At 55.8% G+C, this 22,291-nt stretch overlaps 2 protein-coding genes, 1 long non-coding RNA gene and 1 pseudogene across 6 annotated transcripts, besides 12 other annotated features; 2 read left to right on the top strand and 2 right to left on the bottom strand.

Annotated features, from left to right (window-relative positions):
• The first annotated feature begins 162 nt into the window (after positions 1-162).
• On the top strand, positions 163-4,880 carry LOC105369757 (uncharacterized). Of its 4 annotated transcripts, none has more exons than XR_944930.2 (4): positions 267-353; positions 1,941-2,067; positions 3,718-3,807; positions 4,649-4,880. It is a non-coding gene; the product is annotated as an uncharacterized LOC105369757 (long non-coding RNA). The 4 variants fall into 4 exon arrangements; XR_944927.2 differs by having other exon boundaries at positions 2,747-3,807; XR_944928.1 differs by lacking the exon at positions 4,649-4,880 and adding an exon at positions 3,962-3,986 and having other exon boundaries at positions 2,747-3,807.
• Positions 1,676-2,198: an enhancer, noted in NCBI's record as "H3K4me1 hESC enhancer chr12:49378822-49379344 (GRCh37/hg19 assembly coordinates)". NCBI's record gives its function as "activates a minimal SCP1, AML or CMV promoter by ChIP-STARR-seq in naive H9 embryonic stem cells {active_cell/tissue: H9 hESC(naive)}" and the evidence as "EXISTENCE:reporter gene assay evidence [ECO:0000049][PMID:30033119]".
• Positions 4,617-8,915, bottom strand: WNT1 (Wnt family member 1). Its single transcript, NM_005430.4, has 4 exons — positions 8,483-8,915; positions 7,516-7,769; positions 6,548-6,813; positions 4,617-6,085 (listed from the first exon to the last, which is right to left on the bottom strand). The coding sequence occupies exons 1-4, from the start codon at positions 8,584-8,586 to the stop codon at positions 5,597-5,599; spliced, it is 1,113 nt and encodes a 370-aa protein (NP_005421.1). The 5' UTR covers positions 8,587-8,915; the 3' UTR covers positions 4,617-5,596.
• Positions 5,575-6,175: an enhancer, noted in NCBI's record as "H3K27ac-H3K4me1 hESC enhancer chr12:49374845-49375445 (GRCh37/hg19 assembly coordinates)". NCBI's record gives its function as "activates a minimal SCP1, AML or CMV promoter by ChIP-STARR-seq in primed H9 embryonic stem cells {active_cell/tissue: H9 hESC(primed)}" and the evidence as "EXISTENCE:reporter gene assay evidence [ECO:0000049][PMID:30033119]".
• Positions 5,624-5,753: a silencer, noted in NCBI's record as "silent region_4418". NCBI's record gives its function as "represses an Ori minimal core promoter by ATAC-STARR-seq in GM12878 lymphoblastoid cells {active_cell/tissue: GM12878}" and the evidence as "EXISTENCE:reporter gene assay evidence [ECO:0000049][PMID:35858748]".
• Positions 5,854-6,103: an enhancer, noted in NCBI's record as "active region_6299". NCBI's record gives its function as "activates an Ori minimal core promoter by ATAC-STARR-seq in GM12878 lymphoblastoid cells {active_cell/tissue: GM12878}" and the evidence as "EXISTENCE:reporter gene assay evidence [ECO:0000049][PMID:35858748]".
• Positions 6,284-6,343: an enhancer, noted in NCBI's record as "active region_6298". NCBI's record gives its function as "activates an Ori minimal core promoter by ATAC-STARR-seq in GM12878 lymphoblastoid cells {active_cell/tissue: GM12878}" and the evidence as "EXISTENCE:reporter gene assay evidence [ECO:0000049][PMID:35858748]".
• Positions 6,776-7,377: an enhancer, noted in NCBI's record as "H3K27ac-H3K4me1 hESC enhancer chr12:49373643-49374244 (GRCh37/hg19 assembly coordinates)". NCBI's record gives its function as "activates a minimal SCP1, AML or CMV promoter by ChIP-STARR-seq in naive H9 embryonic stem cells {active_cell/tissue: H9 hESC(naive)}" and the evidence as "EXISTENCE:reporter gene assay evidence [ECO:0000049][PMID:30033119]".
• Positions 7,378-7,977: an enhancer, noted in NCBI's record as "H3K27ac-H3K4me1 hESC enhancer chr12:49373043-49373642 (GRCh37/hg19 assembly coordinates)". NCBI's record gives its function as "activates a minimal SCP1, AML or CMV promoter by ChIP-STARR-seq in naive H9 embryonic stem cells {active_cell/tissue: H9 hESC(naive)}" and the evidence as "EXISTENCE:reporter gene assay evidence [ECO:0000049][PMID:30033119]".
• Positions 8,861-9,230: a silencer, noted in NCBI's record as "silent region_4417". NCBI's record gives its function as "represses an Ori minimal core promoter by ATAC-STARR-seq in GM12878 lymphoblastoid cells {active_cell/tissue: GM12878}" and the evidence as "EXISTENCE:reporter gene assay evidence [ECO:0000049][PMID:35858748]".
• On the bottom strand, positions 11,591-11,694 carry RNU6-940P (RNA, U6 small nuclear 940, pseudogene; annotated as a pseudogene).
• Positions 15,437-15,731: a silencer, noted in NCBI's record as "tiled region #4091; K562 Repressive DNase matched - State 4:PromP". NCBI's record gives its function as "represses a minimal TATA promoter and a strong SV40 promoter by Sharpr-MPRA in K562 cells {active_cell/tissue: K562}" and the evidence as "EXISTENCE:reporter gene assay evidence [ECO:0000049][PMID:27701403]".
• Positions 15,502-21,897, top strand: WNT10B (Wnt family member 10B). Its single transcript, NM_003394.4, has 5 exons — positions 15,502-15,782; positions 16,668-16,781; positions 16,886-17,148; positions 18,918-19,291; positions 20,684-21,897. Exons 2-5 carry the CDS (start codon positions 16,708-16,710, stop codon positions 21,140-21,142), a joined length of 1,170 nt encoding a protein of 389 aa, NP_003385.2. The 5' UTR covers positions 15,502-15,782; positions 16,668-16,707; the 3' UTR covers positions 21,143-21,897.
• Positions 17,199-17,278: a silencer, noted in NCBI's record as "silent region_4416". NCBI's record gives its function as "represses an Ori minimal core promoter by ATAC-STARR-seq in GM12878 lymphoblastoid cells {active_cell/tissue: GM12878}" and the evidence as "EXISTENCE:reporter gene assay evidence [ECO:0000049][PMID:35858748]".
• Positions 18,744-19,627: an enhancer, noted in NCBI's record as "H3K27ac-H3K4me1 hESC enhancer chr12:49361393-49362276 (GRCh37/hg19 assembly coordinates)". NCBI's record gives its function as "activates a minimal SCP1, AML or CMV promoter by ChIP-STARR-seq in naive H9 embryonic stem cells {active_cell/tissue: H9 hESC(naive)}" and the evidence as "EXISTENCE:reporter gene assay evidence [ECO:0000049][PMID:30033119]".
• Positions 20,356-20,908: an enhancer, noted in NCBI's record as "H3K27ac-H3K4me1 hESC enhancer chr12:49360112-49360664 (GRCh37/hg19 assembly coordinates)". NCBI's record gives its function as "activates a minimal SCP1, AML or CMV promoter by ChIP-STARR-seq in naive H9 embryonic stem cells {active_cell/tissue: H9 hESC(naive)}" and the evidence as "EXISTENCE:reporter gene assay evidence [ECO:0000049][PMID:30033119]".

The following is a 22,291-nucleotide window of genomic DNA, read 5'->3' as shown; positions in this document are numbered from 1 at the left end:
TTTGGAAGAGGAGGGGAGGGAGGGCTGGTGCTGAGAGTGGGAGCCAGGCCCATCGAGGTCCCAGGAGTGAATGCCTCATTGTTGGCCAGGCCAGAGTCACAGATAATTACCTCAATTAGTGACAATGGGAGAGTAATAAATACAGGCTTAGTGTCTCCTACCCCACCAGGGCTCCGAAGATTAATCCAGGCTGACGGGCGGGCCCTGAAAGGCGTGATGGACAATTCATTAAACTCCCCAAATGCCGCACAACCTGGGCGTGAAGGCTGAGTTAGCCCCCTGGGGGCTGTGCCTTTGTCCCGATTGTGTGTCTCCGCCACAGCAGAGCCGGGCAGCCCCCAGAGAGTGGGGAGGTGAGTGGGGCTCCCCCAGCCGGGCCAGGCGGCGGGAGGATTAGGCCTCGGTCCGGCCCTGGTTGCCCTGGCACACTGGCCCGGCCTGGCTGGAATGTCCGTGGGGGGGAGCTGGCCGAGCAGAGGGGCGGGGCCGACAAGGTGGGGTAAGGGGGGCATACAAAACCAGGGGCAGGAGGAGTTAATTAGACGCCAGCCGAGGAGGGTGAGGGGCCACGATAGGGCTGAGGGGCCGCCAGGGACGGCCCCTTAACTTCCGAGGATTAATAGGGAGGAGGGAAAAGGGAGGGGTTCAGCCCTGGGGGAGGAGAGCTGGGAGCTTCACAGGGTGGAAGTGCCCCCTCTTGCCCCAGCTTGGCACCTAGTTGGCAAGTTGCTGGGAGGTGGGAGGCTCTGGTGGCCTGGACAGGTACCCTCAGCATCCCAAGAATGGCTCTTTCTTCGTCACATGGCACCTACTTAGGGAGGATGATTGGGCAGGAAGGAGAGAAAGGACCCCCTCATTTACAGGGGAAGTAGTGGAAGCAGAAGTGTTTGGGGTCCTGTTCTCAGCCACCCCCTACCCCATGCCCCCTAACCTACTCTGAGGCACAACCAGGAGCTTGAAGCTTTGCTTTCCTGATGAGGCTGGCAGGTTGAAGCCAGGAAGTCCTTAGTGGGGGCTGGAGGTGATGTGAGCACATGGAGTAGGGGCAGCTGTGTGTGCTTGCACCTGTGTGTGCAGACACTGTGCACACAGGTGGGCCTGTGCACAGGGTCTGGCATTCAGCTGGCTTTCAGTTAATGCTTGTTGAATGAATGAATGAACTTCTGTTTTGCTGAGAGCAAATGCATGTGAAGAAGAGAAGTAGCAGCGGGCTGTGCCATGACACAGAGTACTTTGGGCCCTTTCATTCCGAGCCTCCAGCCAGGGCCCAGGGAGGGTAGGGACCACATATCTGAAGAGATGAGCAAATGTTCAGGGAAAATGGAGTGGCAGTGGTTCCTTCACCTTGAAAAGGGGGGAAAATATGGTAGCCTCTAGGAAGCCCCACTTCCTCCTGGGCCTCAGGGAACAGGGCAGCCCTGGCTCCTCCCTGGGAGCCACCCCACCCTGCCCCTCCCAGGGGATGACAAGGGAGCGAGTTGGCGGCAGTTCCCTGGGCATATTTATAACCTGCTGCTCGCTCACCAGCGTCTGCTTTTAGACCAGACGGGGGAGGGGGCAGGGGGGTGGTCTGTCTCATGCTGGGCGCCCCGGCTGGGTGTGGAAAGAGTGAGTAAGGGTGAGTGGTGGGCAGCCCTGCATGGATATTCCTGCTCACACCACAGCCAAACAGCTTATTTTCTCCTCGTTTTGTTATTTTTCTCCCTCTGCGCTGGAGAGGAGGACTGAGCCAGCCTGGGGCGAGGGGGGAGGCTTTGGGGGAGGCTGGACCCTAGGGTATTTGCAGCCCCACTGACAGGGTTTTTCCAGGGTGCGTGTGGCAGAGTGTGTGTGGTGCTGGCTTGCTGACCCCCTGGGGACTGTGCACAGCCTGCCTTTCTTCTCAGCTTTTCCACTCCCCCCAGGATATTTCAGGACTAGTCTTTCCCTCACTTGCTCAGGCCAACGTGTATCCAGCGCCCTGGCACCTGAAGATCAGAGGTGGTGAGAGGTGGCGCATCAAGCACAGTCCTGATGACACCATCCTATGGCCACCACCCTGAGCCTACTGTGGCTCCTGAGACCTTTGTGAGTCTTCTTTCTATGCATAATTGTTCTTCTCCTCAGGATGTACCCGCTCCAGCCCTGTGTGAGGATAGCATAGATGATCACAATAACAAAATGATTAGCTTTTATGTAGTGCTTTGCAGATCCCTCTGCCCTTTTACTTGTTTGTGTGTGTGTGTATGTGTGTTTGTGTTTTATTAGTGCCCATTGAGGGCCCAGCCTAATTCTGCACTTCCCAGCACCATCACCTTTGAAATTCCAGCCCTTGGAAGAGAAGAGCCTCCATGCCGAGGGCTTGAGTATGGGAGTCTGCCCTTAAACTTCATTTATGTGCAGAAGGCTTTACACTTCATTGAGCCTTCATTGCACTCCCTCCATATGCTAACAATATCTGAGGATGTGCTTGATCCCCTGGCCAGACTGTCAACCTCCTCCAAGCAGGCACTATGGTTTATAAATCATTGTATTGCCAACATTTGGCAGATGCCTGGTATAGAAGAGGTGTCAGTGAGTATTCAAATGACCCAGGCTTTCATGTACATCATCTCATCTGAACCTCATCACCTCCCTGAAAGGTTAAGTAACAATAACCATCCCTGTTTGATAGGCAAGGCAACTGAGTCTGAGAAAGTACGAGATTTGCTGAAAGTCTGGGTAGGGGCAGAAAAGAATTCACCACTTTCCCTTGCTCTTCCTCCAGCTCCTGTTTGTCAACCTGGTTCAGAGTGCCCCAGCTTCCAAGCCTGAAAGCTGATACTGACTCCAATTCTTAGAGTTTGAATTTAGGCAAAAGTAGTTGGAGACAGCTGCCAATGCTTTGACTCTACCCTGCTGCTTCATCTCAACTCTGGGCACTGTCCAGCAGGGGCCCAAGCCCCCCCTCCCACCTCTGGCAGCCTATTAACTTCTTATTTGGGGAGTTGAGGGATCTAATAGCCCTTTGGCTTATAGACTGGGCATTCTCTGCAGGGTGCTCTTTATGGAAACCCAAAGCTTTTCAGGTGCCTCTTCCCCAGGATCAATAGGTTTTTATTTCTTCCCCTAGGGTGAGGAATCAGAACTGAGATGGTGCTAGCTTGGCAGGTGGAAAGGAAGGGAAAGGGATGTCGTTGCAGGACTGAGCAGTTCCTGGCTCCATTCCCCTACCCCTACACATATCCCAAAGGTGGTGGGAGGCACCAACAGCAGAAGAGGCCTGAACAGGAGAGGAGGGAATAGGGGAGAAGGGGAAATTCTCAAGCTGGCTGGGAGCAGTTGTTGCTCTTAGGGGATAGGTTGGGTGTTTCACAGCTCCCCTTGCCCTTCTGATCCTCCCCTGTGGGGAGGGGTTAGGATTAGGGACAGACATTAGAGCTTAGAAGGGGTTAGTGTTTGTCTGAAGTTAGGGTTAAGGCTAAGGTTCAACCTAGACCTAGGAACAGGAAGAGGGTTAGAGTTAGAGATAGGTTTAGGGCCGTGGGTAGGATTAGAACTCCCACTGACTCTGGTGAATGTGCACACAGAGGTATCACACTGGTGGTGTTAGTAACAAAATCCTCATTCTGGTTCTTTATGGGAATGGCTAGCTTAGTAGTTTGGTTATGGACCACATTAGGGTTTCCTTTGGTTACATCGGTTTAAGCCTAGCCTGCATTTGGATTCTAGCCTACCTGCTCCCTTCTCTCCCACCAGCATCTCTGAGCTTCTCGGTCCAGCACCAGGCTCATCACCTATTATCTGGATCTCCCTGAGCCCAAGATTGGGAGTGGGGCTCCTGATAAGGTATTTATTAGATAGATAGATAGATATACATATATAATACCTAATAGTGTGTGTATATACACACACACACACACACACACACACACACACACACACATATATATATATATATATATATATATTTTTTTTTTTTTTTTTTTTTTTTCTTTTGTAGAGGTGGGGCTGCCTGTGTGGCCCAGGCTGGTCTCAAACTCCTGGGCTGAATCGATTTACCCACCTCGGTCTCCCAAAGTGTTGGGATTACAGGCATGAGCCACTGCCCCAGGCCAGTATTTACTTTTCTGTTGGTGGAAGGGCTTCACCCCTGTCCAATGCCCTGACCACAGCTGAAGAAGCCAAGCTTCAGGGACCAATAGCTCCACATTAGGGGCAGCAGCACTCTGCTTTAGTTTCTCTTCCTACTTTTTGGAAGATGGTCACAGTTATCATTCAATAGTAGCTATTTTCTGAACAGCTGTTCCAGGCAGGAAAAGCAGGCACTGAGGTTGTTTAACCCCCATTCACCAAGTATATGCACCTGTCCATATCACACAGCCAGTTGCTGTTCCACGAGGAAGAAGAACCCTGCAGGGTTGTTTGGCTACTGACCAGGTTCCTCTCTCAGGAGAGCTGGATTCCCAGTGGCCTCGTTAGGGTCATCCAAGGGTCAGAATCTCAGGGTCCTCTGGCAAGGTTAGGAAACCAGTCCCCCAACAGCATATTCTATTTGTTTGAGAGAGGTAAGCTTCCAAGCCTGGGAGTGGTAAAAGGGGAGGATAGGGGACACCACAAACAAGGTTGTGTTCTGGATTCAAGGAAAAGCCACCAAGTCATCGATAAAAATAGAGATTTTATTCTGCAGAGGAAGATGCTACACTGGTGGGGGCGAGGAGCCGCTAATAGCTACAGTGGAAGGAAATACTGATTCCAGGAGGCAAACGCATCTTTGAGAAACTGAGGAGAGAAGAGGGACCAGAAAAGGCTGCAGGGAGAAAGGAGAGAAGAGTGGAGAGGGATTGGGTTGGGTTGGAGGTGGTCTTTGCAAACCAGGCTGGGACCCAGCACAATAAATAGTTTTATTTACAACATCCAAACTCGTGGCTCTGTATCCACGTTTCAGTGCAAATTATTTACACACTGATGAGGAGGCAGGACAGGAAGGGGTAGGAGGTGGCCCAGGGAGGCATGGCTCACAGCTGTTCAATGGCTCCACGACAGAGACTGGGAGAATGGGGGCATTTCTGCTGGTTCCCCCAACCTCATTTCCACATCATCACAGCTGCCCTTTTGCCCTGTAACCTCCTGCTTCAGCTACAGGTGGGGAGGAGAAAGGCCCTGATGCCCAGGTGTGGGTTCAGGGTCTGCACCCATGGCAGGAGAATAGGAAGGGACTTAGGAGGACCCGGAGAAAACGCAGGACAAAGGGGAAGAAGAGAGGCAGAGAGGTCGCTGGCGCGATGGAGCAGGCAGAATGACACCATCAGGAGCCGACCCCATGGCGGAGGGGACCCATCCTTCTCTCACCTCCTGGCCAAGCAGGGGGCAGTGCAACAAGGGGTCTCCCGCGGAGAGGGAGGGAGGTAGGTCCGGGGCAGGTCCATCAGGATGGCAAGAGGGTTCATGCCGCCCCAGGCAAGTGGTTTGAGGAGTCCCCAGGTAGGAGGAAGTGGGAGAGATGGGATGCGTATGAACCGCGGGGAGTGTGACTGGAGGTACTCGGGTGGGCGAATAACCGGGTCTTGAGTGCTAGCGAGTCTGTTTGGGGGAGGGCTCGAGGAGAGCGTTCCTGGGGGCGAGTCCGCGCAGCGCCTCACAGACACTCGTGCAGTACGCGCGTGTGCGTGCAGTTGCGGCAGCTGACGTGGCAGCACCAGTGGAAGGTGCAGTTGCAGCGCTCGGTGACGCGCTGCGTGCGCGTGCGGTGGCCCCTGCCGCAGCAGAGCAGCTCGCAGCCGTCCAGCGCGGGCGACGAGCTGTTACAGGCGCGCCCTGCCGTGCCTGCTGTGCCCAGGCGTCCGCTGTACGTGCAGAAGTTGGGCGATTTCTCGAAGTAGACGAGGTCGTGGGGGGAGGGCGGTTTGTGGGCCGGGTCTTCCGGCTCCAGGCGCAGCAGCTCCGCCCGCGAAGCGCGGTTGCTGCCGCGGTTGCCGTACAGGACGCGCGAGGCGCCGTCGAAGCGGTCGCGCAGCACATCGCCCACGGCGCGCAGCGTGGGCAGCCGCATCCAGCACGTGCGCACCGTGCATGAGCCGGACATCCCGTGGCACTTGCACTCCTGGCGCATCTCGGAGAATACGGTCTGCGGGGATAGGGGAAGAAAGAGTGTCCCAGGGCACCGGGCCAGAGTCACCCTCCCAGACACTGCCCTCTCCCGGACGCCACGGGGGCCGGACCTCAGCAAAGGCCCAGGCCTAGCTGAGCCCAGGGGAAGGGAGGCGCGAAATGTTCCGCTGAGATTTGGAAACCCTGCCCAACCCTGCTCCGCCGCGGCGAGTCAGTCTCGGCCTCTCAGGCTTATTTTTCGAATCTGTACAGCGAAGAGACTGTGCTTGATTTGCAACCTCTTCTACCTGTCCGCGGGCCAGACATACCTTTGCCCTCAGCCACTGTCTCCTCTATTCTCCGTCTTCGTTCCAAGCCTCCGGCTCTCCCAGGACGCCCTCTCCTGGTGCCCCTTGCCTTATCTCACCGACCGTCACTTCCCCAGCCCGAGGTTGGCCCCTGCCGCTCCGCTTAGGGTGCGGAGCCTCTCAAAGCTCACCGTACGGCCTGCCTCGTTGTTGTGAAGGTTCATGAGGAAGCGCAGGTCCCGCCCCTTCTCCCCGGAGTCCACGAACTCCCGGCCGAAGAGGCGGCCGAAGTCAATGTTGTCGCTGCAGCCCCCCCAGTGCCAGTCGGGGCCCCCGGGGCCGCGCCGCCGGTAGTCACACGTGCAGGATTCGATGGAACCTTCTGAGCAGGAGCGCGCCACCGAATGGGTGACCCCGGCGGAGGTGATAGCGAAGATAAACGCCGTTTCTCGACAGCCTGTGGGAGAAGGGAGCGGGGATCAGCGAGGGGGTACGCGGGGCGCGGCCAGCACCCTCATGAAGGGCTTGGGACCGGAATCCCACCCCCGACTCCGCACTTTGAGTCCTGAGAGCCAGGGCCGGCAGTGCTGGAAAGCTGGTCTCTAGGGCTAGTAGAGAAAGCAGGTGCGTGGGCACGCAGCCACGTCCACGGGCGTAATCACACCTTACTGGGAGATTCTAGGGCGCATTTTGGCTCGATAGCGGAAGTGGAGCAGCCCCAGAGAGACAAACCGAAGAGAGGGGAGCGGAAGAACCATACATCCCCAAGACTTCTTCGCAGCCCAAAACTTTCGGCCCATTTTGGCGGTGCAAGCCTTGCTGGGCGAGAGGCCAGACACACGCCTGCAGAGAGCAGCTTCCCAGGCGCTTTTGAGAGAGGCTGGGGGAAAGCGGCGGTCAGCCGGCGTCCGCGACCCGAAACTTTCTTTATCTGGGGCAGTAGCTCAGAAAAGTTAAGCTTCGTTTCCAGGGTGCACGGCTGGAAAACGCCTGGTAGAAGTCTGGCCCCGAGCTGGCGCTGGGCACGAGGCACTTGGCAAGGTTGATTGTGTGACCCTCCAGGCGCCTGGGACACCTTCTCTGAACTCGCCCGCCCATGCCCTGGGGGTGACCCCGCGTTTCCCCTGCTCCCGGAAGCGTCGCCTTCCTGGGCACCCACCTCGGTTGACGATCTTGCCGAAGAGGTGGGGCCCTGGAGCAGTGGGACAGTTCCAGCGGCGATTCCGGAACTGCCACTTGCACTCGCGCACGGCACTCTGCAGCCCCCCACTCACGCTGTGCAGGATCCCCGGATTTTGGCGTATCAGACGCCGCTGTTTGCGGCTCAACAGCTGCAGACTGGGCTCGAGTACCAGTTGCAGACTCTTGGAGTCTGTAAGCAGGTTCGTGGAGGAGGCTACGTTCACAATACCCCTGGTGGGACGTATGATAGCTCAGGCTCAGGAAGGGGATCCGCACCCTAACCATAAAAACTGTGCCACCCGGTCCTCTTCCTGGGGGTATGTGGCTGGAGAGAATGGCGGGAGATTAATAATACCCGCTCTCCCAGGCTCACTAATTTGAAAGAACTGGGCGTCCAGACTTGTGTGTGCCCAGTAGTCCCAGGGCTGCTCGCCTGAGCCCTAGGTCCGGAGACTGGACAGAGGAGGTACCCGGAGACCGAGTGTCTACCTTGGATCTCCGAGCCTCTTCCGGTCAGCCTGAGCGAGATAATCATGGCCTGCAGTTCTTGCCCACCCAAGGCGTGAAATGCTTAGGAGTCCCACCCTCTTCTCCCCTCCTTTCTAGGCGAACTCCTGGCCCTTCACTTCCCGAGGTGGGGAAACCTGTGGTGAGCCACCGCCGTGAGGCTGGAGTTGGCGCTCAAAGGGGAAGGGCGGTGCTAGATGAGAGTGGGCTCCCTGCCTGGGGTATCTTAGGCCTCCGCGGGCGGATCATTCGCCCCACTTGTACAGAGCTGGAGTCTGGGGCAGTTTCATGCCAGATCGCCCTTCGGTGTCGCGGAGGGAAGTCAGAGCGGGGAGGGAGCCTGTCGGCAGACGGATCCCAGAGCGTGGGAGCTGGGTAGGGTTGGCCCCTGGCTCTGTGCCGCGGGACAAGTGGCGACCCCGCACCAGCTCACTTACCACCATCGGCCACTGCTGTTGGCAGCCAGGGCTGCGGGCAGAGCGGCCAGCGCCAGCAGCAGCGTAGCAGAAACCCAGCCAGGCAACAGCGCCCAGAGCCCCATGGCCTGCCTGGCTTTGCCCGCTCTGTGCTGCAGTTGCGGCGACTTTGGTTGTTGCCCGCGACGGTGGGACGGGACGCGGCGGTGGCGGCAGTGGCGAGAGTTCGCAGTCTGGCTTTAACAACCCTGGGGGCGGGCGGCGGACAGCATGGCTCGCGGTCCCGGCTGGTGGGCTGAGGCGGCCACGGCGGGCGGCACCGCCTCTTATAGTTGCGGCGCTGGCTGAAGTGACGGGAGGAGGCTGCCCCTCCGGGCCGCACTGTGGCACCAGGGCGCACCGGTTAGGGGCGCAGACAATGGGCAGCGAGCGGGGCTGTGGTTCCCGCCCGTCTGAGCCGAGAGCTGACGGGTTGGCCGTCGGGGCTCACCCCCGCCCCCTGCCCGGTGGCCCCCGCCTCCGGGCCTGCACTGGCCGCGGACCCCTCCCCTTGGGACACCCTCCCACGCGCGCCCGCCTCACTCAGCTGAGCGTCCGGAGCCCGTCGAGGACTAGCATCCGCCAGGGGGCGCGGCGAGAGTGTGCTGCGGGGAGAGCCCGCCAGGGGCCCAGCCCGCCTCGCCGCCCGCGGTGGGGTTGTCCCCTCGACGTCACCCCGGGCCCCTCCGACGTCCCCTCTCTCCCCCATCCTGAGTGTCGGAAGGAAAGCTGTGGTTCTGGGCAGCGACTCCGGGGAGATGCTTAACCGCCCAGGAACCCCCGATGGCTGGACAGAGAAGGAAAAAGGGGAGACGGGGGCGTGAGTGCGGCTGTGGTCAGGGAAATCCCGGGGATGAGTTGTGGGGGTGAGCTAACCAAAAGGAGCCTAGCGGTGGAGAGAAACCTAAAGCAACAGGCAGTTTGCTCATGTGCGCCAGAAGAAGCGCACAAGTGGCTGTGTGTGTGTGTGTGTGTGTGTGTGTGTGTGAAGTGGAACAACGTGAATATGGGTGGGAGTGAGAATGTGCTGTGTTCTGAGGGTGCATCCTCCTGTGTGTTGGTACGTGCAGAAACTCCTTGTTCTGACGAAGGATGTTAGGAAACTTTCCAAAGAATTTTGGAATTTAGCTCAAGTCAGAAAAGGTCATGGAGTCACCTTGTCACAGTCACCGCCTGGGGCAGTGTGTCAGGAAGGAGGTGGCAACTGTCGACAGGAGACTCAGAAGCATGATTGAGGGATGCAGAGTGTCTGGACTGTGTGTGGAGTGGGTGGATGAGCATGTGCATGGGAAGATTAAATATGTGTGTATGCGTCATTCTGTTGCCCTTTGTACCTCGTGGCATCCTATGGCGTGTCACACTGTGGTATGTGTCAACCAGTGCATGTCATTGGGGGAGAGAGCCGAGCCTACAACCAAGATGGTATTGAGGTGAACCCAGCCTGGAGTGGCTAAGTCTCTGAGGCCTAGGCTCAGAAAGGATGGGAAATGGTGCGGATGTCCACTGTATGTATGGTGATGGAGAGGACTGGGAAGACAAGGGTTGCTGGCTACATTGAACCTAGATGAGGAAACTTGTGCCTCCATGTGTTTGCTTCTCTTTGGATGTTTCTGCCAAGTTTCTGTCTTTCCCTAAAGCTCTAGTTCCCACCACACTGGGATACCCAGAGTGCCTGTGACCATCTCATCCATTGTACACTTTTCTCTTCTCTCCCAGGGACTCCTACTCAGCTTCAAGGCCATTTAGGCCTCCTATTGAAGAAGTGACAGGCTGGGCGCGGTGGCTCATGCCTATAATCCCCGCACTTTGGGAGGCCGAGGCAGGTGGATCATGAGGTCAGGAGATCGAGACCATCCTGGCCAACATAGTGGAATCCCATCTCTAATAAAAATACAAAAATTAGCTGAGTGTGGTGGCGCACACCTGTAGTCCCAGCTACTCAGGAGGCTGAGGCAGGAGAATGGCTTGAACCCGGGAGGTGGAGATTGCAGTGAGCCGAGATCACGCCATTGCACTCCAGTCTGGGCTACAGAGCAAGACTTCATCTGAAAAAAAAAAAAAAAGTGGCTGCTTTTCCCTATATGGGGAATAGGGGGCACTGCCAGCCTGGTTATCATGCCCCACCACCACACACATGGCCCCTGGAAGGAGGGAAGATCTCTTCTCTCTCCCCATTTTGCAGAATTAAAAATAGATCAGGCACTTGTCCAAGGTCCACGTCTAATAAATGAATCAATGGTAGAGCCAGATTAAAACCCAGACCAATTTGACTCAAAGCCCATGCTCTTTCGACCTTACCAGCTGCTTGCCAGTGTGCAGCAATTACAGGCTGGGAACCCTTCTCAAAATTGATGGGTAAAAATAATTTTTTGGGCCTTTCTGCCTCCCTTTTGAGTTCTAGCTCTCATTTTTTTCATCTCCCTTGTCTTTTAGGATGCCTTCTGACTGAGAAATTTCCCCAGGCCTGAACCTAAAGTCTCAAGTCCCAGAAATGACTAGGATTCCCTTCTAAGGCAGGGAAATCACTCTAAGGAATAAATGCCAGGTAAGTTTCATTAATATTCCCGGGCACTTGTGTTTTAAATGAGATGCATATTAACCCAAATGAAGCCTGATGGAAGTTATTTTAGAAAGAAATGTCCTTCTTTCCCTTTTTTCTTCCCTTTTGCCCAGCCTAGTATATCTGGCCCTTCCAAGGATCCACCCCAGAGGGAAAAGGTGTAGTGGTCCAGCACCCTCCGTAGATCCAAAAGCCAGTAGTCCCTGCAGAGAGCACCCAGCATAGATAGCTCAAGTAAATGGACAATGTATCACGGGGAGCCTGTCCTTTATCCCTTATGAGTTTCTTCCCACTGGGGCCTGGGTCACATCTTTTGGCCTGGTGGATTGATACAACACCGTGAGGGTGGGAGGCTGGCTGGAAAATATGGAAGCCCTGTCTTTGACGACTGTTGTCAAGCAGAGGTGGGAAGAGAGGAAAGGAGCCACTGTGCTTTGTTCCAACATTCCACACACCAGGAGTAGGGGGCAAGAGGGTAAGGCCCCTAGATCTGGGTCACACTGTTTATGACCTGGCTGACATTTCTTTTTCAAAATATGAAATGCTTCACAAATTTGCATGTCATCCTTGTGCAGGGGCCATGCTAATCTCTATATCATTCCAATTTTAGTATATGTGCTGCCAAAACAAGCACCCAACTTTCTATTTAGATCAAATAATCATGATATCAACTGTCCCCTCTTTCTTTCCTGCATCATCCACTTATCTCTCTCCTGGAACATACACATAAGCATGCAGACATGCTGCAATAGTACCCATCTGAAAAACCCAAAAACTTCATTAGACCCCACATTACTGCCCAAGATTGCTCCATTTCAGTGCTCCATTTTACTGCAAAAATCAAAAGGGTTGATTTAATTACTAGAGCCAATTTCTTTCTTTCTTTCTTTCTTTTTTTTTTTTTTTGAGACGGAGTTTTGCTCTTGTTGTGCAGACTGGAGTGCAGTGGTATGATCTCGGCTCACTGTAACCTCCACCTTCCGGTTTCAAGCGATTCTCCTGCCTCAGCGTACCGAGTAGCTGGGATTACAGGCGCCCACCAACACTCCCACCTAATTTTTGTATTTTTAGTAGAGGTGGGGTTTCACCATGTTGGCCAGGCTGGTCTCGAACTCCTGACCTCGTGATCTGCCCACGTCGGCCTCCCAAAGTACTGGGATTACAGGCATGAGCCACTGCGCCCAGCCCAGAGCCATCTTTCCTAAAACAGAAGTCTGATTAGTTCATTTCTCTGCTCAAAATTTTCCAGCGAGACCCCATGTCACTCAAAGTAAAGGGGCCTCCTTCCTAGCCCTCCAGCTTCATTGCCTACCACTCTCTTCCTTGCGAATTTCTCCCCACTAGCCTCACTGGCCTCTTTTCTAATCCTTTGAACCAAGCATGCTCCTTTCTAAGGGTCTGTGCACCTGCTTTTCTGTCTTCTAAAATGCTCTTCCTCAGATCTCTCCATGTATTTGTTCCTTCAGTTTGTTTTCCCTCCCCCTTTATAAAATAGAATCCCACTACTAATCTCCTTTACCCTGCTTCATTTTTCTCTGTATCAGTTTTGACCGTGGATGACTTTAAAGGCTTGAAGTTGAAAATCAGTAGCAAACCACCCCCCTGGAATAGGGTTAGAGGTGAGATGTTAGAGGGGAGAGGGGCTTTGCCTTGACTTTGGGATCTGGGGAGGAAGCAGGGCTCCAGGGTTTAGAGTTTGTGGGCAGAGGAGCCTACCCTCCTTTGAAGCACCCGCAGGCAGCACTGCCCCCTTGGGCTGGGAAGGCACAGCCCATCCATTAGGCCTGAGTACAGAAGGGGGCAAAATTCTGTCTAAGGTAATCCCATGGATTTGTTGGAGTGGACTGCTGAAAGTGGGGCCTTCCTGAGAGTCCAGTATGCAGTCGGCCCGCAGACCCTTTGGTGCCTCCAGGTGGTGGCCTACGGTGCTGCAGCAGAAGGCGCATTAAGCGGAGGGTGGGCAGCGCAGCTGAGCTCACCGCCACGGGCGCATCCATCCCTCCTGGGCCTATAATTTGGGTTCCCCGGGTCTGGCCTCCCCTATCAGCGGCTCAGCAACAGATGAGTCACCCGGGACCCCGGGCCAAGGCAAACATGGGGGGAGGAGGAGGAGGAGGCTTCTGAGGCTTTAGCCACCGCCTCAGTTGCTCGACATCCCCCAATCTCCAGGGGCCCCCACTCTTTTCTTTGACCCCCGCCCTCCAGGGCCCCAGTGTTCTTCCCACATTGCTCTCGTTACACCCTCCATCCCTAGGATGGGAAGGGCAGCCCTCCACTCTTCTCATTGAGGGGAAGGGGAACCAGCTTGCTCCTAGTCCCTCCCTGCAGTGATGAAAGCCCCCCACTTTCCCCCTCCTGTCATTGGCCCTGACCCACGTCAAGGTCTCTCTGGTTCCCGTCCCTCCCCTTTCTTGGAGCTGGCCGCGTGCTTGGGGTATTAGGCAATGGGTGTGCACCCACAGCCCTCTCCAGGCCCCGCCTGTCCCACCGCCCTCTAGCCGCCTGCGGGTCAGTGCTCAGGCCAGCCGGTCGGGCTGAGGGCACTGCGGGCCAGCTCAGGCCACCCAGTCTGCCGGCCTGTGGCCTCTTGTCCCAGAGTTGGGCTTCAGTAGAGAGAAGGAGCAGGACTCTGGGTCCTTGGATTTGGAACAGTCCTGCTTGGGGAGACCTAGGGTCACCAGGAAGTTGAAACCTATTGTAGTAGTTCTGCCCCTCGCCCCTTCTTGGCACCTGGCTGTATGCTGGAGCCTGACAAGGGTAGAATCAGAAGGCAAAAAATAATCCCAAACCTAAGGGGGACCCAGAGACACATGGAGAAATACAAATGTCCATGAGGTCCCCATGGAGAAGAGAGGCTTAGGCAACCTCATTCCCCTCTTCCAAGGACCTGGCAGGAATCCCAGGGTGACTGCAAGAAAAAGGATAAGGACACTGGTGGGGATCATGAATCCAGGTGTAAGGATGAAAACTATGAGATGGGGCTTGCAGATTCTGGTGACCTCCAAAACCACACATGGTTTGGCTCTTGTCCTCTAAATGGGAAGGAGGGTCAGGAACTCTAGTGCTCCCACTTCCCCATCCCAGAGGTAGGGAATCAGAGAAAAGCAGTCTGGTCCAGGCTGTCCAGTGTCAGGGACCATGGCACTTTCACCTCCCCAGACTGCTCACAGCCTGGCACGTAAAGGTGATCTGTAAATATCCCAACAGATGTAAGTTTGCTCGATCTCCTGTCTCAGACTGCTGTGCCCGCTATCCAACAGTGACCCCTGCAGCACGGGCAGGACCTCCAGCAGCACAGACTGGAGGCTGGCTGCCCAGCAGAGCTGCAACGCCACCACCAAGGAAGAGGTGACTGTGGTTGTGGGTATCATCCCTGTTCCTCTGCTTGCTTGGGGGCAGTCTGAGTCAATGTGCCTGGGGCGCGTGGGGCCAGCCGTGCCTTGGGCTGCGGTCTGGCAGGGGCGGGGGGCGGCTGGAAAGCCTGGGGCCCCTCTCTGGCAAAAATAGCCCACAGTGGTTAGAGCTTCGAGGGTGAGTCAGGCGGGAGCACGGTGGCGCCTAACCCGTTCGCTGCCACTGGGTCTCCCTAAGGCGGTTTGCCTTTGCCTGTGCACCCCAAGACCAGGCTCTTTCCCGGCTGCCCTTGGGCTTGGCTCAATTTTGGATCCCAAGGCCCTCCTCATCCCATAAGAAGCAAGTCTACAGCTTGGAGCAGGAATCCAGGCCACCCAAAGTGCAGACCGGGGGAATCCCGAGAAGGGTAGGATACCTCTGTTGGCAAGCATCCCTGCCAGGCAAGGAAGCATCGGGGCAGGCTGACAATCTTTGGTGCTACTTGAACCTCTGCTAGGGCCAAACTCTGAGGCCAAAGCTGTCCCCTCCAAAGGGGCAGGCGCAGGGCTTGGAGGAGGGTGGGAACCAAGCTGCCCAGACGTGTGCTTCTCCTGCCCGCTCTGAGTACCCCGGGTGCGCTCAGGCTGTGGGTGCCACATGTGACTGTCCCACACCGAGAAGCCCAAAGACTGTCTGGCTCCATCCTCATCTTGTCAAAGGCACCTTCCAGCCACCCTGATCTTGGTGGAGAAACTGACGCAAAGAGGAGTGATGAAAGATGTGGCCATCTGGGCCCCATTCTGGCTCCCTAGGAAGGTTACTACACCCTCCCTGCAGCCTTGGCGACCCCAGATCAGGTGAGAGGAACTCTGGCCACCTCCTTCTTCAGTGGGGCCAAGCCTGAACCCAGGCGTCGGGGGAGAGGGTGTGTGAGAGAGAGAGAGTGTGTGTGTGTGTGTGTGTGTGTGTGTGTGTGTGTGCGCGCGCGCGCGCGCGCGCGCGCGCTGGGAGGAGGGGGAGGCTGCATTCGCCTGGTCAAGGCTGGGAGTGGAGGGTAGGGTGGGGAAGCCCCAGGCTCGGGGAGGGGCTGCAGCTCCGTCAGCCCGGCAGAGCCACCCTGAGCTCGGTGAGAGCAAAGCCAGAGCCCCCAGTCCTTTGCTCGCCGGCTTGCTAGCTCTCTCGATCACTCCCTCCCTTCCTCCCTCCCTTCCTCCCGGCGGCCGCGGCGGCGCTGGGGAAGCGGTGAAGAGGAGTGGCCCGGCCCTGGAAGAATGCGGCTCTGACAAGGGGACAGAACCCAGCGCAGTCTCCCCACGGTTTAAGCAGCACTAGTGAAGCCCAGGCAACCCAACCGTGCCTGTCTCGGACCCCGCACCCAAACCACTGGAGGTAATTAGACCTGGGAAAGCAGGGAGGGCAGGGACGTGCACACGAGGAAGAGACAGGCACGTGTGTAGTCAGACAGACAGACAGACACGCATCCACCCACAGAAGCACAGAGACGCATAGAGAGCCAGAGATATTGCTAGAGATAAAGACACAGAGAATAAAGGAGTGCCCCCAGATTTAGAATGCAATGAATGTGAGAGCCAAGGGGTGAGGACCAGACGGGCGACTATGGAGGAGGGGAGCTTGTAGTTAGGCAAGGTGGGGGATAGGGAAGAGGACTCAGTCTGTGCCACGGTCCCTTTTAGGAGGGAGCCAGGCTCTCCTCCCCATCTTTCCTGCACCTGGAGCCTCTCCTCTTTCCTTGCTGCTCAGGGAGGGGGCAGTGTGAGTGGGGAACTCATTCTTAGACCTTTCTCATGGAGCCTACTTGCCCTTGATGACACCTGGAGGTGACACCCCCTTAGGTGGTGGGGAACCTCCTCCCTATCCCTCTCCCTAGCCCTGTGAGGGCGGGGAAGCTAGTCGTGGGGCCCTGGAAAAGGGAGCAGTAGGCGAGGTTGTGGAGCAAGTGTTTGTGAGTCTGTGTGTCTGAGTTTGCAAGTGAGTGTGTGTCTGTGTGCCGGGCGTTGTGTCTGATTGGGCAAGGTTCCAGGGGTGCTCGCTTGAGTCCTGAGCTGGGACAACGCCTTGACTCTTCTTCTTTAAGACCTCCAAGCCTCAGGGACTCTGGGAATCAAGGGGTGTTTCTTCTTGTTTTGTTTGAGGAGGAATGAGAAGGGTCAGTAGGGTGGCACCGGTGGGTTAGGAGCCCGAAGAAGGGCGTCACTTGGTTCCCCAAGCGAGCCGCCCTATTCCTGAACCCGCATCAAGTCTCCCGTCCCGCAGGTCCTGATCGATCTGCCCACCGGAGCCTCCGGGCTTCGACATGCTGGAGGAGCCCCGGCCGCGGCCTCCGCCCTCGGGCCTCGCGGGTCTCCTGTTCCTGGCGTTGTGCAGTCGGTGAGCAGTTCCCCTTGTCTCCCAGGCCATAGAAACACCGACCCGGGGTGGGGAGAGTTGGAGGGGTCTGGACCGCAGACCCCAGACGCCTTCTTGGTTCCCAGGGCTCTAAGCAATGAGATTCTGGGCCTGAAGTTGCCTGGCGAGCCGCCGCTGACGGCCAACACCGTGTGCTTGACGCTGTCCGGCCTGAGCAAGCGGCAGCTAGGCCTGTGCCTGCGCAACCCCGACGTGACGGCGTCCGCGCTTCAGGGTCTGCACATCGCGGTCCACGAGTGTCAGCACCAGCTGCGCGACCAGCGCTGGAACTGCTCCGCGCTTGAGGGCGGCGGCCGCCTGCCGCACCACAGCGCCATCCTCAAGCGCGGTGAGCCTGGCTGGGCGGGTCGGCGCTGCCGCGGAGGCTAGGGGGTGGGCGGCAGGGCGAGGCGCGCGGAGGCGGGAAGGGATGGTTTCGCGGCTCCGGGAGGGGCCTCTCCTGGAATTCCCCGCCCCCCCCGGAGCCGCTCTGAGCCAGGTCTGGCCACTCGTCTGGGCCCCTGCGCGCCTAACTTCCACCTGCGTGCTGCCAGCGAGGCAGCTGGGTCCCTGCTCTCCTACCCTAGGGCCCCCCTTTCCTGCCTCCGCTCAGCTTAATCTGGGTTGCACCTGTGAACAAGAGATGCCCCCAGTCCTGGAAGCTTCAAACGCCCCCCTATTCCCTCCACCATTTTCTCTCCCCCCATCTTGGCTGGACAAGCCCAGGCTGGTGTCCCCAGTGTCTCAGCGGGGGTGGGGTGACGCCCCCAACCGTTTAAGGGTTAAATCTGCTCCCCTAATTGCTGGGGTTCCCAGGAGCCAAAGCTGGGAACAAAGACCCTGATGACTTTGAAGCTGGGGAGCCAGTCCCCTCCTCTGTGCTGTGGGGGCTCCAGGTGTTGCTCACCTGAGCAGGTGAAGAACGGCTGGAGAGGCAGAGAACAGGTCACTGCTGGCCTGGTCTGGGAGGCATGGCTGCCTCTCCTGGTTTCCCACTGGAGTTCACTCCCTGAGGTGTAAAGACCCATGGGGGCTCAGCCCAGAGATGGGGGCAGTGCTCTGGGGACTATGGGGTTAATAGGCAGCTGCCATCTGCAGGGGAATTCCCAAGACTTGTGCAAACAGCTTCACCCCTGGAGGGTTGGAGTTAGGGGGATCAGAAGGCTGGCCCAGGAGCCCTAGATCCTGGGGTAGCAGAGGCCTGGTCTCTAAGCGGGTGCTGTCTCTCGTCTTCTCAGGGCTCCGGAGAGCCCCTGCCTAAAATGAAGTGAGGGTCCCCCTCCTTCCCCACAGGGCCTGGTGTAGGGGAAGGCTTGGACACCCAAATGGTGAGCATGTTTATTTAAGTCTGGGAAAGGCTTGGCAGCCTGAGCTTCTGTGACCCCCAAAACATAACAAAGAAGCCAACCTTTTAAGAGGGCCTTAGGGAAAATCACTCCCCAACCTCTCTCCTCCTCTCAGTGTTTTATAGGGTAATAGCAGGTTAGGATAAACATAAAAAGGGCAGTCTTGAAGGGCAAATATAAAACTACATCTTGGGAAGCGGAAGGGCAGCTCCATAGCTCCAGTGCTTTGGGGGTGCTAGGATGGTGGTAGGTAGGTTGGTTAAAAGACTGATTAACCCTGAAGTGAATTTAAAAAAAAAAAAACAAAAAAACAGAACCACAAAGGCTCTGCTCCCACCTCACCCACCCAAGCTCCCTGCAGGGTTGGGGGAATTTCTAAGGCTTTCAGATGTAGAACTCGGTTGTACACATCTTCAAAGACCTCAGGGACTCCCTCTTAGTCATCTCCCGACTCCAGGGGTCTCTCCCTGTGGGCTAGCTCTTTCATCTACACCTGAAAATCACAGACTTACAGAATGAGAATGGGCCTCAGAGATCATCTTGACCCATCGTCTCCTGCCTCCCTTTAGAAATGAAGAATCTGAGGCTCTGTGCTTTTTGTACCCTTCCTTGTCCCATGACTTTCCTCCAAATCACTCAGCTGGTGAATGGCAGGGTCAGGATTCAGTTAGGAATTTCTGGAGTTGGAGGGGGGCTGTTTATTTCTTTCTGCCTCCACACTCTCAGCTGCCTGTCAACCTTACCTCCACCATCACACCCTTCTCATCCCCAGGTTTCCGAGAAAGTGCTTTTTCCTTCTCCATGCTGGCTGCTGGGGTCATGCACGCAGTAGCCACGGCCTGCAGCCTGGGCAAGCTGGTGAGCTGTGGCTGTGGCTGGAAGGGCAGTGGTGAGCAGGATCGGCTGAGGGCCAAACTGCTGCAGCTGCAGGCACTGTCCCGAGGCAAGAGTTTCCCCCACTCTCTGCCCAGCCCTGGCCCTGGCTCAAGCCCCAGCCCTGGCCCCCAGGACACATGGGAATGGGGTGGCTGTAACCATGACATGGACTTTGGAGAGAAGTTCTCTCGGGATTTCTTGGATTCCAGGGAAGCTCCCCGGGACATCCAGGCACGAATGCGAATCCACAACAACAGGGTGGGGCGCCAGGTATGTGTGTACATCTTGTCCTGGGTCTCCCCAGCTTTTGAGGCCTGGTTAGAGTTTGAGAGGCATAGGGAAATGATAGGATAAAGTGTGATGAGTGACTGACACTCACCATCAGCAAGTCACCCAGCCTCAGTTTTGTATCTGTAAAGAACCTAATGATACTTATCTTACAATGTTATTAAGACTGAGCTAGCAGGCCAGTGTGGTGGCTCACGCCTATAATTTCAGCACTTTTGGAGGCTGAGGGGGGAGGATTGCTTGAGGCCAGGAGTTCAAGAACAGCCTGAGCAACGTTGTGAGACCCCATCTCTATATTTAAAAAAATTATACATATAAAAACAGACTGGGCCGGGCGCGGTGGCTCATGTCTGTAATCCCAGCACTTTGGGAGGCTGAGGCAGGCAGATCACCTGAGGTCAAGAGTTCCAGACCACCCTGGCCAAGGTGGAGAAACCCCATCTCTATTAAAAGTACAAAAATTAGGCCGGGTGCAGTGGCTCACACCTGTAATCCCAGCACTTTGGGAGGCCGAGGCGGGTGGATCAAGAGGTGAGGAGATCGAGACCATCCTGGCTAACGTGGGAAACCCTGTCTCTATTAAAAACACAAAAAATTACCCGGGCATGGTGGCATGTCCCTGTAGTCCCAGCTACTGGGGAGACTGAGGCAGGAGAATCGCTTGAACCTGGGAGGCAGAGGTTGCAGTGAGCCTAGATCGTGCCACTGCACTCCAGCCTGGGCGACAGAGCAAGACTCCCTCTCAAAAAAAAAAAAAAAAAAGACAAAAATTAGCCAGGCGTGGTGGCCTGCGCCTGTAATCCCAGCTACTCAGTAGGCTGAGGCAGGAGAATCGCTTGAACCTGGGAGGCGGAGGTTGCAGTGAGCCGAGATGGCACCACTGCACTCCAGCCTGGGCGACAAGAGCAAGGCTCCGTCTCAAAAAACAAAAACAAACAAAAAAACAGACTGAGCTAGCAAATAGTATACCCAGCATAGTGCCTCATCGTTGGCTGACTGCATAGTAGCTCTTATTACAGCTACCTTCCCTACAGAATTTAGGCATGCTGTGGGCCAGACTCCCAATTTTATAAGTGCTTACAATGGAAAGAGCACTGGATTGGGAGTCAGGACAACTTGAGTTGAGTCTTGGCTCTATTACTAGCTGTTGATGGAAGATGGACAAATCACACTGCTCTGTCTTCAATTCTGCCATCATAAAATGAGGAAGTTGGCTATTAGCTAACTGCAATGTCCTTTCTGTTCTGATATACCATGTTATTCTTGCCTCCATTTGTCCCTCCCTGTGTTCTCTGTTCCCTTCCCTCTCCTGTGCCTCTGTGTTCTGTCCATTTGCTGCCCTCTGCTTCACCTCTTTTCCCCCTGATGCTCTAGGTGGTAACTGAAAACCTGAAGCGGAAATGCAAGTGTCATGGCACATCAGGCAGCTGCCAGTTCAAGACATGCTGGAGGGCGGCCCCAGAGTTCCGGGCAGTGGGGGCGGCGTTGAGGGAGCGGCTGGGCCGGGCCATCTTCATTGATACCCACAACCGCAATTCTGGAGCCTTCCAGCCCCGTCTGCGTCCCCGTCGCCTCTCAGGAGAGCTGGTCTACTTTGAGAAGTCTCCTGACTTCTGTGAGCGAGACCCCACTATGGGCTCCCCAGGGACAAGGGGCCGGGCCTGCAACAAGACCAGCCGCCTGTTGGATGGCTGTGGCAGCCTGTGCTGTGGCCGTGGGCACAACGTGCTCCGGCAGACACGAGTTGAGCGCTGCCATTGCCGCTTCCACTGGTGCTGCTATGTGCTGTGTGATGAGTGCAAGGTTACAGAGTGGGTGAATGTGTGTAAGTGAGGGTCAGCCTTACCTTGGGGCTGGGGAAGAGGACTGTGTGAGAGGGGCGCCTTTTCAGCCCTTTGCTCTGATTTCCTTCCAAGGTCACTCTTGGTCCCTGGAAGCTTAAAGTATCTACCTGGAAACAGCTTTAGGGGTGGTGGGGGTCAGGTGGACTCTGGGATGTGTAGCCTTCTCCCCAACAATTGGAGGGTCTTGAGGGGAAGCTGCCACCCCTCTTCTGCTCCTTAGACACCTGAATGGACTAAGATGAAATGCACTGTATTGCTCCTCCCACTTCTCAACTCCAGAGCCCCTTTAACCCTGATTCATACTCCTTTTGGCTGGGGAGTCCCTATAGTTTCACCACTCCTCTCCCTTGAGGGATAACCCCAGGCACTGTTTGGAGCCATAAGATCTGTATCTAGAAAGAGATCACCCACTCCTATGTACTATCCCCAAACTCCTTTACTGCAGCCTGGGCTCCCTCTTGTGGGATAATGGGAGACAGTGGTAGAGAGGTTTTTCTTGGGAAAGAGACAGAGTGCTGAGGGGCACTCTCCCCTGAATCCTCAGAGAGTTGTCTGTCCAGGCCCTTAGGGAAGTTGTCTCCTTCCATTCAGATGTTAATGGGGACCCTCCAAAGGAAGGGGTTTTCCCATGACTCTTGGAGCCTCTTTTTCCTTCTTCAGCAGGAAGGGTGGGAAGGGATAATTTATCATACTGAGACTTGTTCTTGGTTCCTGTTTGAAACTAAAATAAATTAAGTTACTGGACTGGTGGATGCAGATGGTGATGTATGTACCCACACTTGGGATCCCAGTCCATAGCTTCTTTTCTAGGTGAATTCTCCTACCTTCCTACACTCAGTGACTTTATGTATATCCTGCTGAGTTCCGCAAAGGATTTGAAATGAATCTCAGTGACTTTGTTGGCAACTTTTCCTTTGTAAAACCAGGAAGGACTCCTAGGTGGGAAGGGCTAGAGTTCCAGATGTAGGCCCTATTGACTCTCTATGCGCCTCAACTCCAGATTTCACCTTGATCACTGCCTTAGAACAAGGGCTGGCAATTTTTTTGTTTTTTTTCGGTAAAGGGCTGGATAGTAAATACATTACACTTGTGGTCTTTGTCCCAACTATTCAACTCTGCCACAACTACTCAACTCTGC

This window comes from Homo sapiens, chromosome 12 (genome assembly GCF_000001405.40).
Source record: "Homo sapiens chromosome 12, GRCh38.p14 Primary Assembly".
NCBI lineage: Eukaryota > Metazoa > Chordata > Mammalia > Primates > Hominidae > Homo > Homo sapiens.
The sequence above is the reverse complement of the archived record's forward strand: the minus strand, read 5'-3'. Positions and strand labels throughout refer to the sequence as shown.

Coding starts and splice junctions, on each gene's coding strand:
- WNT1 (NM_005430.4), bottom strand. CDS start 8,586: ATGGGGCTCTGGGCGCTGTTGCCTGGCTGGGTTTCTGCTACGCTGCTG. Junction 6,814..7,515: donor CGGCAAGATCGTCAACCGAG/GTGGGTGCCCAG, acceptor CTTCTCCCACAG/GCTGTCGAGAAACGGCGTTT. Junction 6,086..6,547: donor ACAACGAGGCAGGCCGTACG/GTGAGCTTTGAG, acceptor CTATCCCCGCAG/ACCGTATTCTCCGAGATGCG.
- WNT10B (NM_003394.4), top strand. CDS start 16,708: ATGCTGGAGGAGCCCCGGCCGCGGCCTCCGCCCTCGGGCCTCGCGGGT. Junction 17,149..18,917: donor CAGCGCCATCCTCAAGCGCG/GTGAGCCTGGCT, acceptor TCTCATCCCCAG/GTTTCCGAGAAAGTGCTTTT. Junction 19,292..20,683: donor ACAACAGGGTGGGGCGCCAG/GTATGTGTGTAC, acceptor CTGATGCTCTAG/GTGGTAACTGAAAACCTGAA.